The following is a 17,756-nucleotide window of genomic DNA, read 5'->3' as shown; positions in this document are numbered from 1 at the left end:
TGCTTGTCTAACCCTGGTCCAAGCCATCGTCACCTCTTGCCTGGCCTTCTGCTTTGACCTTAGTTCTCCAACAATCCATCTTTTTACACTGACCCAGCACAATATCTAAAAAATGTAAATCAGATCACATCACTCCCCGGCTCCAATGGCTTCCCATTTTTTTGAAATTCCAAAGCCCCATGGATGAGTTCTGCAGTGTTGTTACCACCTTGTTTATGGCGCTTGCCTCCATCTTCTGAAGGGGTGTTCTTAAGTAGAATTGTGAAGGACTGGAAGCTGGATGTGTAAGGCTCCTGAAAGGGCAGGTCTGGACCGGGCTCACATGCTCCCACAGGTCTGCTTGGCCCACTGCACCCTGCATTTCCACCACATGTTCCTGATTCTACCAGTTTCCTCCATCACCCCTCCTCCTCGGTGAAGACCAGGCTTCCATGGCCAGCGGACGCCCACGATACTTGCGGGAGTTGCTGCAGCTTTTGCACTCAGGTTCTACCTGATTGACCCAAGAGCTCTGGCTCCTGAATGTGAAGGCAAGGTAGTGCTGGTGGGGGGGATTTGTGACACCAGCAAGAGGCACAAAATGGAAGAGCTGACAAATTCCTCCCTCTTTCCACCCCAATGAACTTTCTTCTGAGACACAGCACTGTCAGTTCTGCTGTAATGCTTGAAAAATCTGTTCCAATGTGACTGACAAATTAGAAAACAAGTTGAATATACCATGAATCTTGCATTTGCTTGTGCCCAGCTTTATCAGTGAGAAACAGTAGGTGAGCACAGAAAACTTTATCCGACTGAACGGAGCCATATAGGAAAACAGTCATGCCCCACATAACAGCACTTCAGTCAATGACAGACCACGTGTACTGTGGTGGTCTCCTACAATTAGGATACTGTATTTTGACTGTACTTTTAAAATATTTAGATATGTTTAGACACACAAATAGTTATCATTGTGTTACAGTTGCCTGCAGTGTTTAGTACAGTAACATGCTGTACAGGTCTATAGCCTAGGAGCAATAGGCTCTACCGCCCAGCCTAGGTGTGTAGTTGGCTATACCATCTAGGTTTGTGTGAGTTCACTCTATGAGGTTCACAAATGACAAAATGGCCTAATAATGCATTTCTTAGAGCGTATTCCCGTCATTACATGGCACATGACTACACACAAAATACACACATGCATTTATCTCAAATGTCTGCCAGCTACCTCAATTTACGTCATGCATTAAGAGCCAAACCCGTCCACACCTGGTGTTACAACTTTCATCTGATTTCAACTACTTTCCACAACTTCACAGAAACTCACAAGCTGAAACCCTTCTGACATTTGGTTCCACCAACAAACGGGTCTTTCTTTCTGCAAGGTAAAGTACCACATTGACTGTACTATTTGTGTATTTCTAAACCATATGTGACATGTAAAACTATGCTACTGCTTTTATTATCTCTTTTTTTTTCCAGTGTTGAGTCCCTAACAACATTTTCCCCATAAGCCCTGTGATTTGTAAAGTGCAATTCTGCATAGTGTGGTGGTTTGGGGGAACACATATGTTGCATTATGGTATAAGTGTGTTCCATATTGCCACTCCAAAGAATCCCATGTGTCAGAGCAACTGGCTAGAGTTTCTCAAGAAGTGATGGGTCAGCTCAGTAATGCATTTGCAGCCTTTGTTTTCTCTCTCTTGCTTCCCTTCTCCCTTACTCTTGCTGCTGTCTGGGATTACACATTCTTCCGCCCACCTCCATCTCCTCCATCCCATCAGGTGTTATGAGTGTGGTGTCAGCCTCTGTTCCCTGAGCCAGGGAACCCGGGCTCAGGTCGAGCATTGCACACATAGGGAACAGCAAATGCAAAACCATAAGGTGGAACCAGGCTTGGTGTATCTGAAGAACAAGAGAAAGCCTGCATGGTTGCTGCACGGCAGATGAGGGGATGTGGGAAGAAACGAGGGTGGGGAGGAAGGGAAGGGCGAGATCTTGGGGGGTTTGGATCACCAGAGAAAAGAGTCTGGACATCAGGCCAAATGCAATGAGAAGCTCTCAGGTGGTTACAATCTCTGGGAGTGATGTGATTTTTTGTTTGTTTGTTTGTTTTTTGGGGACAGAGTCTCACTCTGCCACCCAGGCTGGAGTATAGTGGTGCCATCTCAGCTCACTGCAACCTCCACCTGTCAGGTTCAAGCGATTCTCCTACCTCAGCCTCCTGAGTAGCTGGGATTACAGGTGTGCACCACCACACCTGGGTAATTTTTGTATTTTTAGTAGAGATGGGGTTTCATCATGTTGGCTAGGCTGGTCTCGAACTCCTGGCCTCAAGTGATCCTCCCACCTCAGCCTCCCAAAGTGTTGGGATTACAGGCATGAGCCACTGTGCCCAGCCTCTTGGTTTGTATTTTTAAAAGATAACCCTGGCTGGGGTGTGATGGAAAGATTGCAAGCAGCAAGGCTGGGAGTGAGCAGACCACTCAGGCGGGGTGGCTGAGGAGCGCTCAGGAAGTGGTCAGCACTGCTGTTGTTTCTGGGAATTTGGGAGGGAAGGGAGAAAGTCTAGGGGACCCAAAGTCCAATTCTGTATATTTCGTTATTGTCCAATTTGGGGTGGGTCATGATTCTTTAGAGAGAGGAAGAAAAAACTTGCAAAAAATTCATGAAGATTCTTGAGAGTAGAGGCAAAGAACCACATTCACGGTGGTTGCAGAAGGGCAAAGCTTATCTACTGGCTTGGGAAATAAGAGAGCTGTCTCTCTCTCTCTCTCTCTCTCTCTGTGTGTGTGTGTTTGAAGAACAATGCAAGTAGAGGCTATTGTTTCCATTCAGGAACAATAACCACAACATGATAAACTGCAGTGCAAAGCTTGCCTAAGTTTGAAATGTGGCCAAAAAAAGAGGGGGAGATTAATCACACAGGGAGGGCTGGTATCTCAGGGGCAGATTAAGACAAGGAGCTGGCAATTTTGAGTCTGATTAGAAACTCCTAAAATCAGAACTTCCAGTTAGGGACTATACTTAAAGCAGCCCTCTTTTTCGAGGAGGGGGGACATGGGAGCAGGGAGAGAGGTTGATTTAAGTTAATTAAACCTAGTGCTTAATTAAGTGTTCTTGGAAACAAACTGTATCCTTCTTCCATGGTTAATGCAAATCTGGGTGCACAGTGCCACTAAATTTGCCGGTTGAAAGTTTTAAGGAAATGGGGGTTTCCAAATGAATGCAGGTACTTTTGGATAGTGAGAGTCGCGCAGTGGCTTGATTTAGGGATGGAACAGAAGCCCCTTCTCAGAAAGTCAAGTAGCTTGGAAAAGCAGAAAGGGTATGGATCTTGGAATCAGGGAAGCTGGCTTCTAGTCCCTACGTGGCCTGTCACCTGCAGGGTGGCCTTGGGCAAGTCATCTATTCCAATGGACCCGTAAATGTTGTCATCATGAGATGCCTTTTGCGGTTTCACCCCCATGCCCCAAACTAAATTTATCAAATTCTACTTCATCTCTACCTATGATTAAAATGCACACATTAATGTTAAATAGGTAATATTTACCAAACGGTTCCTATGTTTACTCCAGATATTGTTCTAAGCGCAACAATATGGATTAACACATTTAATTCTCAAAACAACTCTGAGAGGTAAATACAATTATCCCCATTTTACAGAGGATAAAATGGAGGCACAGAGAAGTCAATAACTTGGCCCAAAGTCTCACAGATGGTAAATGGTGGGCCACAAATATGAACCTAAGATTTTGATCAAAGGCAAAGAAACAGAGCTTTAATTAGTATCAGACTTTACCTCCTTAGTTTGGTTATCTGTAAAATACAGACTCTCATCTTCACTATGACCTCCCTCCAGGAGTTAAAAGGCTCCAATGTCAAGGTGCTTAGAGGGGTTTTATAGGTACTGATGCCTCAGGATGAGGGAGGAGGGCCCGAGTGCTCCCGCACGGATCCTGCAGCCACGCTCACATTCCCAGCAAATGATCTGTCAGCAATATCACATCCGCATCAGGCACTCAGTCACGTAGGTCAATGGGCGTTAATCAAGTGTTGGGACTTGGAGAGATGATGCCACTGCTTTCTCAGTCACTCAGGTTTACTGCACTGAAACCCTGGGTGGGTTTCTTTTCTCCTGTGGTTTCTTGGGACATGAAATCAGGGTTCTCTAACTTGACTTCCTATTGTCAAAGTGATCGGGCGATTGGGCAGCATCTGTTTTAGCTGCTCTTTAGGGTAATGTCCAGGGTGTTACCTGGACTTCCACTGTGGCATGTTCTCACTCATGAGCATCTCTCACTCTCTCTATTTTTTTTTTTTTTTGAGGTGGAGTCTCACTCTGTTGCCCAAGCTGGAGTGTAGTGGCATGATCTTGGCTCACTGCAACCTCAGCCTCCTGGGTTCAAGTGATTTTCCTGCCTCTGCCTCCTGAATAGCTGGGATTACAGGTGTGCACAACTGTGCCTGGCTAATTTTTGTATTTTTAGTAGAAATGGGATTTCACCATGTTGCCCAGGCTGGTCTCGAACTCCTGACCTCAGGTGATCTACCTGTCTTGGCCTCCTGAAGTGTTGGGATTACAGGCATGAACCACTGTGCCCAGCCCCTCATGAGCATCTCTATCTCAAGGTTCCAAAGGGACAAGGGTAGGGAGTATTTCCAGTGTTCTTGCTGGGCCTTTTCACAGGAAAGAGGGGAGAGGGCAGAGTGCACAGGGTCTGGACCAGACAGCTTGCCTCTGAGTCCCAGCCCCACCATGGTGGGTCCTCTGGGAGTCACTCCGTGTCACCAGCCTCAGGTTCCTACCTATAAAAATGAGATAACAGCTGGGTGCAGTGGCTCATGCCTGTAATCCCAGCACTTTGGGAGGCTGAGGCGGGTGAATCCCCTGAGGTCACAAGTTTGAGACCAGCCTGGCCAACATGGTGAAACCCCATCTCTACGAAAAATACAAAAAAATTAGCCAGGTTTGGTGGCGGCACCTGTAATCCCAGGTACTCGGGAGGCTGAGGTAGACGAATCACTTGAACCCGGGAGGTGGAGGTTGCAGTGAGCTGAGATTGCACCACTGTACTCTAGCCTGGACAACAGAGCGAGGCTCCATCTAAAAAAAAAAAAAAAAAAAGGTAACAATAGAACCTCTCTCAGTGTTGGTTTAAGGATTAAATGAGAGAGTTCTAGGTACATTCTGAACCACAGGGCAGCACTCAAGAATCCTAGTCCTTAAATTTAGTCCTCATAACAACACTATCATGAAGGCAAGATGTTCTCCAGAAGCTCAGAAAGGGCAAGTGATATATCCAAGGCCACATGTTGGCAGGAAACAGAATTAGGATTTGAACACAGTCTTAAGAGTGTGTGGGAACGTGGCCCGAGGGCTGAGTTAGAGATTGGTGGTGGCAGAGGTAGAAATAGGGCTGGGGTAACATCTGCCTTTGCCACTCTGAGAAAGTCACATAACTGGGCCTCACTTACTTCATCTGTGAAATGGGAATAATGCTAGTCCTTGTTGTGGAAGATATCAAGTATGAAATAAACTCAAAGTATTGAGTTATATGAAAAAAATGACGCAGAATTAAAAAAAAAAAAAACCAGCCCGGTGCAGTGGCTCATACCTATAATCCCAGCACTTTGGGAGGCCAAGGTGGGTGGATCACGAGGTCAAGAGATTGAGACCATCCTGGCCAACATGGTGAAACCCCATCTCTACTAAAAATACAAAAGTTAGCTGGGCGTGGTGGCATGTGTCTGTTATCCTAGCTACTCGGGAGGCTGAGGCAGGAGAATCGCTTGAACCTGGGAGGCAGAGGTTGCAGTGAGCCAAGATCGTGCCACTGCACTCCAGCCTGGTGACAGAGCGAGACTCTGTCTCAAAAAAAACCCAAAACAAAACAAGACAAAAAAAACCCTTAGGCCTTTCTTTCATTTGACCTCCATTTCTAGGCAGACTGCCTTTCAGGAATCCTTGAGTAACAGATTCTGCCGAGAGGCACGAGGCTAACCTTGAGTTCCGAGGCAGTGCTGTGCTGCCCTGCAGGGAAACAGCTTAGGAGAAGCAACACATCCAACCCTGGCACTACGAAGAGTGCAGTAGGTCCCCATTCCTCTAATGATGGGTTCTATTAGTCTCTGTGGACACTTTGGGTCAGGGATCAGGTGTGGGGTGGAAGACACAGATACTGACTTAAATGCCCCAATGTCAAGGTCTCACTTTGAGGTCAAGTTCACCTCATGGTTCTTAGAGCAGAAGAAATTATATGAATATCTCAAGCACATCTTTGAGGACTCCTCCATGTGGCTTGAAGGTTTCATCAAGCAGACTTCTAGAAACAAGTTACTGGTTGTAATAACAGTCCCAGTGCTTTACTGTTCCCTGTATTCCTGCCTTTTGACATGTCACCTTGTAGAGTCCCCACACTCCCTGCACCTCCTACAGGGACTCTCAGCCATGTCACTTGCTTTGGTTCATTGGATAAGGATGTGATGCAAGCCAAGACCTGAAAAAGCTCTTGTACCTTTCTGCAAAAGCACCCTCGCTCCTCTGCCACTCCCATGAAATCATGCCTGGGTGAGACTGCTGGAGGATGAATGATGTGCGAAGCTTTGTCAACTCACCCCTGTCATCCCAGTAGAGGTCATCTTAGATCAGCCAGCATCCAGAAAACCCCCTAAGATATGGCTGACTCCAGCTGAGATTAGCAGGACCCCCTCACTGACCTAGGTATGTGAGCAGGCCCAACCCAAACTGAGATCAACTGAACCCTGTAGACTTTCATGCTAAATAAGTGTTTCTTCTTGTTCACCACTGAGGTTTGTGGGCAGTTGTCATGAAGCACTATTGTGGCAATAAATAGCTGATATACATACACACACAAACACACACATGTATTTTTAAATGTAACATACCATGGCTTTGATTGTATTTTGCTACACTGTTCAAGCCTTCCTTTCTTTGCCTCTATCTTTGCTTTTGGAGGTACTGGCAAGAAATGTTTTTATTTTATACACACACACACACACACACAGAACTTTTACCGACATTCTCATATTAGTCCACCCAGTGAAATCCTGATAGGAGGGAACAGAAATCTCTACAAGCTTTGCTCTCCCCCTTATGTCTCACTCTTCCTCTTCCAATCTATTTATTTTAAATAAAAATCCAACGTATATTTTAAATAAATAGGTCATATTTGTTTAAGACAAGCTCCCACTTGGTACCAAGAATCTGCCTATTGTAGAGTCAATCAAACCAGATCGTGCTTCCTTCTCCAAATGCAGTCCATAGTTCCCCTCCTCCAGGTCTTAGCTCCCCCAAGTCCTCCTTCTTAGAATTCCTCTTCCACTTTCCAGTCCCATCCTCTCAGTCCATGAAAATGCATCAGCCTTCAAGTCACCTGCAGCCACTTCCCCGGGACAGGCCTCCCCAGCGAGGTTCCCGTGTTCCTGGAGTACCACCATTTGTGTGCTTTTTGTGATACTGTAGTTCGTGTTTTGATGAGGCAGCAAATCCAGATGAAGCTGGATTCAAATCCCCTCTTCCCAGCCTCAGGACCTAGGACAAGTTCCGCAAACCCACAGAGCCTCAGTTTCCTCATTTGCAAGGTGAGGATAACAATGATGACATAGTACCTATCTCACAGGGTTGCCTATGAAGATTAAATGATGTAGTACAACTCCAACACTTCACATAGTGCCTGGGATGGAGTAAGCACTTACTACATGTTAGCCATTATTATAATTGTATGCATGGTACCATGGGAACTTGCAGTCCTAGCTAGCATTTATTTACTGCTTACCATGTGCCCACTGTTTTAAGTATTTTAAGTACTGTTCTAGTGCTTCTTATGTGTTTATTTCATTTTAAACCTCATGGCAATGGTTAAGGTAGATAGTGTTATTATCCCCAATTTGTGGATGAGAAAATTGAGGCACAGAGAGGTTAAGTAAGTTACCCAAGGTCACACAGCTAATAGGTCACCCACTGCCATTGCCATCCTCTCTCCACTTTACTATAGTTATTCACTCATCTTTGCCATTGGGGATCTCGGATGTGTCCTTAATTTTTGCTTTCAAGTGCTTAGCACAGTGCCTGGCACATAAACCCACCAACATACTGATGGAGGTTACCATAGAGTAGCCTGTATGTCCTTCGTCTTTTCTCTCTTGACATTCACCCCCATTGAGGGCAGAGGCTTGGGTCCCCCAATCCCTGCAACTGCTTGTTGCTGAATTGACTGGGTGGGACAGATGGCTCCTTGCAGAGGAAAGATGGGCTTCTTCTCACCCTGGTGCACACAGGCAAGGGCTCTCTACACTCAGTCTTACAATCCAACTCGATTCAAGACGGGAAGCAAACAAGGCTTTCAGCAGCCTCAGGCGAGCAGGGGTGAAATTAGCCGATCGGTGTACAAAGGAGTGTTTAATAATGCTATCACGCTACCCCGTCCTCGTGGAGCCGTTGTGACATTCTGCATTAAAAAAGTGACAACCCTCAATTGCTGCTTGTAACCAAGGCCTGGCATCACGTTGGCTCCCAGCCTCCAGAACACTTGCATTTTCTGGCAACAAATGGCATCCAGGGATCAGGGGAAACTGATGGCTTCATGCAAAAATGTCCTGGCGGACCCTCTAAGCCCTTTGTAGTTCAGCTGCTCTTCTGCTCGTCTGTCAGGAGCATAATTTTCATTTAATATTAAGGAGCTGTTTGTTAAAATAATATTGTCATGGTAACGGGGTAAGGGGAGGGGGTGCTGAAATAGTCTGGTGCTGCCCGAATTGCAGCATATTAATCAAGTACTTGGTACTATTTAATGAGCTTCCCTCTGTGCTTCCTGGCAACAATGAATTTGGAGGACCCAGGCACTTGGGGTTTGCCCCAGTTGTCAGTGTCGAAGATGTGGGCTCTTATGAGTTCCTGGTGCTGTGTTGTGATGGATGGAGGGAGGGAGGGAGGGATCAAGGGAGGGGTGAATGGATGGGATGGATGGATGAGTGAGTAGGTGGGTGGAGGGATGGAGGGATGGGTGGGTGGATGGGTAGGTGGATGGATGGATGGGTGGGTGGAGGGATGGATGGATGAATGGGATGGATGGATGGATGCCAAAACCCAAATTATAGATGTCTGTGTCAGAGCTGTTTTGAAAGCTCTTCTATTTTTCAGTTGCCCTTTTACAGTGGAAATGAATTTTGTCAGAGAATTAGGGAAAAGGGGTCAGGGAAGAAAACAAGGGAAGGCAAAGATTTATCTTGCCTGAAGGGAGAGCTGATGGCAATGATAGGGAGGCAATGTAGAAAAATTCAGAGTCAGGCTGCCTACGTTCCAATCCTGGTTCTGTCCCATCTCACTGTGTAACCACGGGCGGGGGACCCGCACCCCCAGGCAGCTTCTGTTTCCACATGTGTAAAAGGGGGCTCATAGTCATGCTTATCGCAGAGGATTGTTGAGGAGATTAAAGCAGATTATGCTCAGTAAATTCCAACTACCACGTCTACTACTACCGCACCTGCTGTTGCTACCGGCGCTGCTGCTGTTGCTACAAATCTTATGAAAGTCACCACTGTGGGAAGGCCCCAAGGTGCTTTCATGACCCAAAGGTCCAATTGAGTCCTGATCATCTAGTACAGCACCCAACCCCAGGTGTGGTTGACACTACTGCCTGTGTTCTTTCTGAGGTCAGCAAACTTTTTCAGTCAAGGGCCAGACAGTAAATATCTTAGGCTTTGTGGGCCACATGCAACCTCGGTTGCATATTGTTCTTCTTTGTTTTGTTTGTTTTTTACAACCCTTTAAAAATACAATACCATTCTTAGCCCACAGGCCACACAGAGCCAGGCATAGTTAGCTGGTCCCTGCCCTGCTGCCTTCTGAGAAAAGACAAGAGAAAAGGAAGGCAAAGTAAAAGGATATATATATATATATATATATATATATATATATATATATATATATATATATATATATATATATAACAGAGTTTTCCTTCCTCTAAAAGCAGGTTGAAGACAAGCATAAAAAAGAGAAATCTGGATCCAGGAATTTGTTTGACTTTAAAAATAAAAATAAAACCAGCCATGGTGATTCACTATAGCCTTGTCTGCTCATTTTACAGTCAAGGAAAGGGAGGCATACAGAGGTGGGGTGACCTGCCCAAGGTCACGTTGCTAGTAAGGGATAGAGCTGGGACATAAACCCAGGTGGTCTGGCACCTGAGAACGTCCCCACTGCCCCATGCCCTGCTGCTGATGTAGAAAAGTATCTCCATTTTCTTCTATTCTGAATCTCCTGACACCCTCTATCAGCTGACTGTCTAGAAGCTCAGACTTTATGGTCTGGCAGAACTATGATCTACTGTTTACTGGGTCTGTGGATATTATCTTGGAGATAACTGACTTTTAGGTGCCTCTGTTTTCTCAGTGGTAAAATGGGGATGTTTACTGTACCTCTTGATGGTTATGGAGATTCAATGGCCGGGCATGGTGGCTCACTCCTGTAATCCCAGCACTTTGGGAGGCCGAGGTAGGCGGATCACTTGAGGTCAGCAGTTCGAGACCAGCCTGGCCATCGTGGTGAAACCCCATCTCTACTAAAAATACAAAATTAGCTGGGCGTGGTGGTGCATGCCTGTAATCCCAGTTACTCAGGAAGCTGAGGCAGGAGAATTGCTTGAACCCCAGGAGGCGGAAGTTGCAGTAAGCTGAGATTGTGCACTCCAGCTGAGATTGGCACTCCAGTCTGGGTGCCAAGAGCAAAACTCTTGTCAAGGACTTAGCAAATGGTATTGAGTGAGTGCTGGATGAATATTAGAACTGATGATTGTAACAATGCTGTGGTAGGCAGAGTAATGGACCCCCAAAGATGCCTGTGCCCTAATCCCTGGAACCTGTGAATATTTTATGTTAAATGGCAAAGAGGAATGAATATTGCAGATGGAGGTAGTCAGTGATCTCAACGCATGGTTCACAGGCAGTCACAGATTCAACTCCTTGTCTACTCTTTCCCCCTTCTCAGAACTGCACTTGACTAGTCTAAAACAGACAAGATTGCAGATGGAATTAAGGTTGCTAATCATCTGACCTTAGGATAAACAGATTATTCTGGATTATCAGGGTAGGCACAAGGTAATCATAAGAGTCCTTTAAAGATGTAGGAAGCCAATGAACGTCAGAGTCTGAGAAACTGCATGTTCTCATGTTCTGCAGCATAAGAAAAACTCAAGCATCCATTGCTGGCTTTGAAGATGGAAGGGGGCCCTGAGCTAAGCAATTCGGGAGGCCTCTAGAAGCTGGGAAGCAAGAAGATGGATTCTCCCTGAGAGCTTCCAGGAAGGAGTACACTTTGTCAATACTTTGTTTGTCACCTTCAGCTCAGTGAGACCCATTTCGGACTATGACCTCTAGTACCATAAGATAATAAACTGGTGTTAAGCCTAAGTTTGTGGGAATATGTTATAGCAGCCATTAGATCAAATACATTGTTGTCTGCAATATAAACCAGAGAACTCACCAGAGTGGGAGCATCACCTGAAGCAAAGATGGCGTCCTGCACCGGCCGCAGGACGAGGGGCCCTTCTCTGCATGCCCGCTCTGATGCTGCTCAACCAGTGACCATCTACTGAGTGCTGCACAGGGGCCAAGTACGGACAGGCACCAGCTCAGGGGCTGCAGGGGAGTGGAGAGAAGTGGAAGCATACAGAGGATACTGCCCAAGCCCCCGGGGGAGATGACACTTCTGCACGTGGGGTTAGCATGCTACAGAGGGGGACCCGCATGTGGAATATCACTTCTGTGGAAATATTCCACTGCCTAGCCTTCACTCTCACATGTGTTCTGGGCCACAAAGGCCAGCTCCAGGTTCAGTGCTCCCCACTGAGTCTGCTCTGAGAATTACCGCCACGGTCACTCCTTTTTCTTAACGACTAGGCTTTTAAGGCAGTGCAGGACTTACATATGGTAATTTGGCTTTGGTTTATTCCCTCTCCCCAATTTCCTCACCACCCATTCTTGGTCCATGTGGTCCCACAATGCCCGGTGGGAGTGCGTGACACAGGCCTGGCCAGTTGGCACCGTGCACCCTTTGGCTCCAGCAGTTGGCTTGGGGATAGACAGGTGACCTGAGTTTCTCAATTCCAGGGCATTTGCTGGGAGCACTGTGGAAGCACAGCCTTCTTTCTACGGGGGTTGCTGAGAAAAGCTGCTGGCTGTCGGTGGGGGAAACCTGTCTGAGTAAATCCCACACAGAAGAAAGCTGAGCCGAGAGATGGAGAGACACGACGCCTGCAGACATTGCTTAGATCCAGCTGGGCGCAAAGCCAGGCCAGCTCAGACTTTTCAATTACACGAACGAACCGCCTTTTTGTTTTACACTTATGTCAATTTGAATTGGATTTCCATCTTGTAACCAAAAGTCTGACTAATATAATCAAATACCAACTTAAGTATTGGTATCTACGAGTTATAGGTGTTTTCATTTCCTTGGCCAAGAAACTTTGAGCTCTGAAATATCACGGAACGGGGGGTTAGGCCAGGGCACTTAGGGCAAAGTTTTAGCTGGACTATAGAGAAGGATGAAGTGGCCTCTCTCACTTCTTTCTTCATCTCTTTGGTTTAGCTTAGCCACACTGAGTCCACTCCTAATAGTGGAGGAAGAGGCAAAGGAAGCCTCTTATGCTATTGAATGGGGCCTGGTTGGAACTTGCCCCTGAATCTGTAGATGGACCAAATGCCTACAACAGGGTTTTCATATCTAGTCCATGAGGGCAAAGTGAATTTCATACGAGTGGCACATGGGGCAGTTGTAGCTCTGTGAACTGATGGAGCTACCGCTTTGGATCCTGCATCTTAAATGCTGATGCTGCCTCAGGGTTCTGTCTTCAGCCCAGCAGTCTTCTATCTCTGAGCTGTCCCTGAGTGAGTTCAGTCACCCCATAGGTTCACCTGTCACCTCCATCAGCTGTCTGTGCATCTTTTTTCTTCGCCTGCAGACCTGAAGGATGCGGCACATTCCCATTGGTCATGGTGATACCTGCCTATGCTGATTTTTCATAGGACAGCAGGACTGCAGGGGCCAGGGTCAGGGTTATAGTGCAGTTGGGTAGGATGATACGCTTTGAAAAGAACCCGGGTGATGCCCATTTCTTCCTCCTTAGGAACACATCTATAGGTTGGTAATCACCAGCCTGTATGTACTATTGATTCCCAATACATCTATCCCTTCCTGAGCTTGTTTCTGTGCTCCAGGCCCATGTTGGACATCTCTAGGATGATAAACACTAATCCTAAAATCAGTTTCAATGCTAGTACTAATGTAATGGAAACTCACACTTAGGAGCACTCCCTCTGTACCAGACATAGTTTTTTTTTTTTTTTTTTTGCCCTGAGAAAGGAATTTATTTATTATATGTAAAGGGTTTATATATATATATATATACTTTAAGTTCTAGGGTACATGTGCACAACGTGCAGGTTTGTTACATATGTATACATGTGCCATATTGGTGTGCTGTACCCATTAACTCGTCATTTACATTAGGTATATCTCCTAATGCTATCCCTCCCCCCTCCCCCCACCCCACAACAGGCCCCGGTGTGTGATGTTCCCCTTCCTGTGTCCATGTGCTCTCATTGTTCAATTCCCACCTATGAATGAGAACATGCAGTGTTTGGTTTTTTGTCCTTGCGATAGTTTGCTGAGAATGATGGTTTCCAGCTTCATCCATGTCCCTACAAAGGACATGAACTCATCATTTTTTATGGCTGCTTAGTATTCCATGGTGTATATGTGCCACGTTTTCTTAATCCAGTCTATCATTGATGGACATTTGGGTTGGTTCCAAGTACCAGACATAGTTCTTAACACTGTACATGTGCTGATCCTAAAAGCCTTCTCAGGTAGGTAATAATCACTACACAATCCTCATTATGCAGATAAGGAAACTGAGGCTCAGGAAAGTTAAACGATCTCTCCAAGGTTACACAGCTAGCACTTGGCTGGGCCAGGATGTGAATTGAAGCCACGTGGACTCCTGAGCCTACCTGTTAACTGCTACTCCATGCTGCTCCCCGTCCTGCCCGCTCCACCGGTTCATCAAATGCAACGCTTCCAGAGCCTTCAACACCACCTGCCACTTTTTCTGCTTTTGTCCACTACTTGGTTAACAAGATCAGTCTCTTAGATTCTCAAGCCAGGAACCTGAGGCTCACTCTGGACCTGTCCTTTCTCACTTTCTATCTTCACATGCAGTCCATTCTTTCTCTGAATTGGTGCTCTGGAGTGAGTTCCCCACTCCATTTCTGCTGTGACTGCTCAGTTGAGAGGGTCACTCCTTCTCTCTGGGGCCATCGGAACAGCCACCATCTCCTCACTGCTTCCTTGTCTTTGACTTCTCCTACCTGCAGTGCCATCTGCACTCTGACCAGTTCATCTTTCTCTTTCTTTTTTTTTTTTTTTTTTTTTTTTTTTTGAGACAGAGACTTGCTCTGTCACCCAGGCTGGAGTGCAGTGGTACGATCTTGGCTCACTGCAACCTCTGCTTCCTGAGTTCAAGCAATTCTCATGTCTCAGCCTCTCAAGTAGCTGGGATTACAGGCACCTGTCACTACGCCCAGCTATTTTTTTTTTATTTTTAATTTTTAGTGGAGATGGGGTTTCACCTTGTTGGCCAGGCTGGTCTTGAACTCCTGACCTCAGATGATCCACCCCCCTTGGCCTCCCAAAGTGCTGGGATTACAGGCGTGAGCTACCGTGCCTGGCACCAGCTCACCTTTCTAAGCCCAAGGTTGCATCATATCACTCCCTTGGTTAAAAACCTCTGAAAGCCGCTCATTGCTCCCTGCAAACAGCTCCATCCTGAGCACGGCACCTGAGAGCCTCTGCAGTCTGCCTCATTGACCTTGCCCATCTCAATTGCCATGTGCTCCCCCATGAGGCTCTACCTGCTCCAGCAACCTCAGACTCCCCAAAGCCTCCAAATGTCCAAGCTTTGTCCACCTCTGCCACCTCTGCCCAGGTTTCCCCTCCTTCAGGGTCTAATTGAAAGCCTCCCTGAACCCACAGGCAGAATGAAAGACTTTGAATCTGTGGGTAGGAAACTTACCATCTTGCTGAGGTGAATCCAGTAATCAATGACATACTGACTTCTGTGTTCATTTACTTATTAATTTTGTTTTTACTAACACTTTTACTCTGTGGTGGACACTACCCCAAGCACCTTCCACAGACTCATTTAGTCATCCTAACTACCCTATGAGGGAACCCATTTTATAGATGAGGAAGGCACAGCACATGGAAGTTAGATAACTCATCCAGAATCACAGAACTAGCAAAGGTGGAGCTGAGATTCTAACTGAGGAGCAGTCTGGCTCCAAAGTGCACACTCTCGATGGCTCTGCAATATTGCCTCACATTGGATGTGTCAACTGTAAGATCCACGGATGCTCAGAGAGGAGACCAGAGCCTCAGAGGAGGCTGCAGGACCTGCATGGAGTTCTGATGCCCCTGCCTGGGCCTCCCGGCGACAGCTCCCTGAGGGAGCCTGTGTTGGCCATGCACTCTCATCTCAAGGCCTTCTCTCCAGCCCCACGGTGTCCCCCAGCTCCATCCTCAGGCGGGAAGAGTCTGAGGCTGGATAAGAATGAAGAGAGGTACTTGGGAAGCTGAGGCAGGAGAATCGTTTGAATCCAGGAGGCGGAGGTTGCAGTGAGCCGAGATCGCAGCACTGCACTCCAGCCTGGGCGACAAAAGCGAAACTTTGTCTCAAAAAACAAAAAAAAAAAACAAAAAAGGATGAGGAGAGGGATACACCACAGGGCAGCCACACTACGGAGAATGGGAGGGTGGGATAGGATTATATTCCTCCTTCTGCCCTGCGCATGGAGCCTTGGAAGACCACTGGCCACCCTTTCTCCTGGGAAGGAGGCAGGTAGCTCCTCAGGTAAGGGCAGAGCACAGGCTGTGGAGAAGTTCTGCTCTAGGCCTCAGGGGAGAGGACAAGAGAGAAGAGGAGGGTTGTGCAGCCCAGCTCACCAGGTTGCAGGCCAGAGAGGACTGGAGGCTGATGCTCAGGGTGGCTAGAATAAAGGTGCACTTGTCTGTTGTCTGCCTTAGAGCCCCAGCTCTCACTCAATAACCCAGGAGTCCTAATGAGTCTCGGCTTCTGTGATCAGGGGTGCTGCTCCTCCAGCCATGCAGGTCCCTCTCCCTGCTTCGCATAGATTTCATTAGTCTTGATTTTTCTTCTTTTCCAATATAGGGTCTCACTGTTGCCCAGGCTGAAGTGCAGTGGTGTGATCGTAGCTCAGGGCAACCTTGATCTTCTTGTCTCATGCAATCCTCCTGCCTCAGCCTCTTGACCATAGGTGAGCCCCGCCATGTCTGGCTATTTTTTTTTTTTTTTTTTTTTTTGACGGAGTCTTGCTCTGCCACCCAGGCTGGAGTGCAGTGGCGCGATCTCGGCTCACTGTAAGCTCCGCCTCCCGGGTTCTCGCCATTCTCCTGCCTCAGCCTCCCAAGTAGCTGGGACTACAGGTGCCTGCCACCATGCCCGGCTAATTTTTTGTATTTTTAGTAGAGACGGGGTTTCACCGTGTTTGTCTGGCTATTTTTTAAAGCATATTTTGTAGAGACAGGGTCTCCCTATGCTGCCCAGGCTGGTCTCAAACTCTTGGGTTCAGGTGATCTTCCCGCCTCAGCCTCCCAAAGTGCTGAGATTATAGGTGTGAGCCTCTGTGCCCGGCCTTGATTTTTCTTTTTTTAAGTGTTAACTTAATCTTTCTCCTGAAGATTCTCAGAGACTAAAGATGAAAGAAGATTTTCATTGCAAACTTCTTACCCGTTATTAACAAGTAAAGCCCATCCTTCTGACACATGGTTGGTGTCAGTTTGGCATTAGATCACCCTTCCTGTCCTGAATCTCCCGACAATGGAATTCAGGTGTGGACACTTGCTGTGTTGAAGGAAAGATGTGGAATAGCCGAATCACCGTATGACTCAGTCTGTACTAGAGAAACCCGCTAAAAGGCTCAATCGTGTCACAAAGACATTCGTCCACATGCATGTCAGGACCCTTGGAGCTATTCCACCCAGAAGACCAGAGCAGAGGAACTCAGGCTGAAGAATTAAGTGGACATTTCCCACTGAAGGATCATCAGCAATAAAAAGGAAGAGCCTCTGAAAAACTAACAGGAGTCATTTGAAAAGTATGATGCTATTTTAAAAAATCTATCTGTAACATCATTTCTTGAACATATTGCAAGAAAAAAGCTATGCTTTCAGTGTGAAGATAGATGGGAGGTGGTACGGGGGAAAAGAAATAGCATTTCTTGACCATCTTTTGTGAGCGAGTTTGCACGCTACGTCTCTTCCACATTTTATCTCATTTACTCTCCCAAATAACCCTGTGAGATGTATTATTTCCCCATTTTACAGATCAGGAAACTCAGGGGAAACCTAGTTCTGAACTATTTTGTCTCATTTTCTGCATATAACTCTGGAAAAACAGCTTATTCCCAGCTAGTACAAAGTTTCTCTAATTCAAATTCCCTGGCAATTTGAAATAGAAGCAAAGCTGCCCATTGAATGATTTTCTATTCAAAAAACACACTGCTTCTGTTAGAGTTTCAGTGGTATTTATTCCTAAGCATGCAAAGAGAGTAAATGGCTTAAAAGTACAGGTCAGGTGCATTCAGCCATGTGGTCAGACCTGCTAAGCACAGGTCCTGTGGCTCCTCCGTTAGCACCAGTTGGTGAGCTGGGCTGAGCTGAGTCTGTGGACTGAATG

The 17,756-nt window shown here is 46.6% G+C and overlaps 1 protein-coding gene across 26 annotated transcripts in view; it reads right to left on the bottom strand.

Annotated features, from left to right (window-relative positions):
* The window catches only part of ZHX2 (zinc fingers and homeoboxes 2), a 194,132-nt gene that overhangs the window by 89,431 nt on the left and 86,945 nt on the right, over nucleotides 1-17,756 (bottom strand). For 8 of the 26 annotated variants that reach the window (NM_001412806.1, XM_047421590.1, NM_001412807.1 and 5 more), the window contains one exon: nucleotides 11,486-11,640. The exons of 17 other annotated variants lie outside the window; for them this stretch is intronic. The gene's annotated coding sequence lies outside the window, so the exon portion shown is untranslated. The remainder of the gene's footprint in view (nucleotides 1-11,485; nucleotides 11,641-17,756) is intronic. One more of the 26 variants, NM_001412796.1, reaches the window with a different exon arrangement.

This window comes from Homo sapiens, chromosome 8 (assembly GCF_000001405.40).
Source record: "Homo sapiens chromosome 8, GRCh38.p14 Primary Assembly".
In the NCBI taxonomy this organism is placed as follows: domain Eukaryota; kingdom Metazoa; phylum Chordata; class Mammalia; order Primates; family Hominidae; genus Homo; species Homo sapiens.
This window is presented reverse-complemented; position numbering and strand designations above follow the sequence as displayed.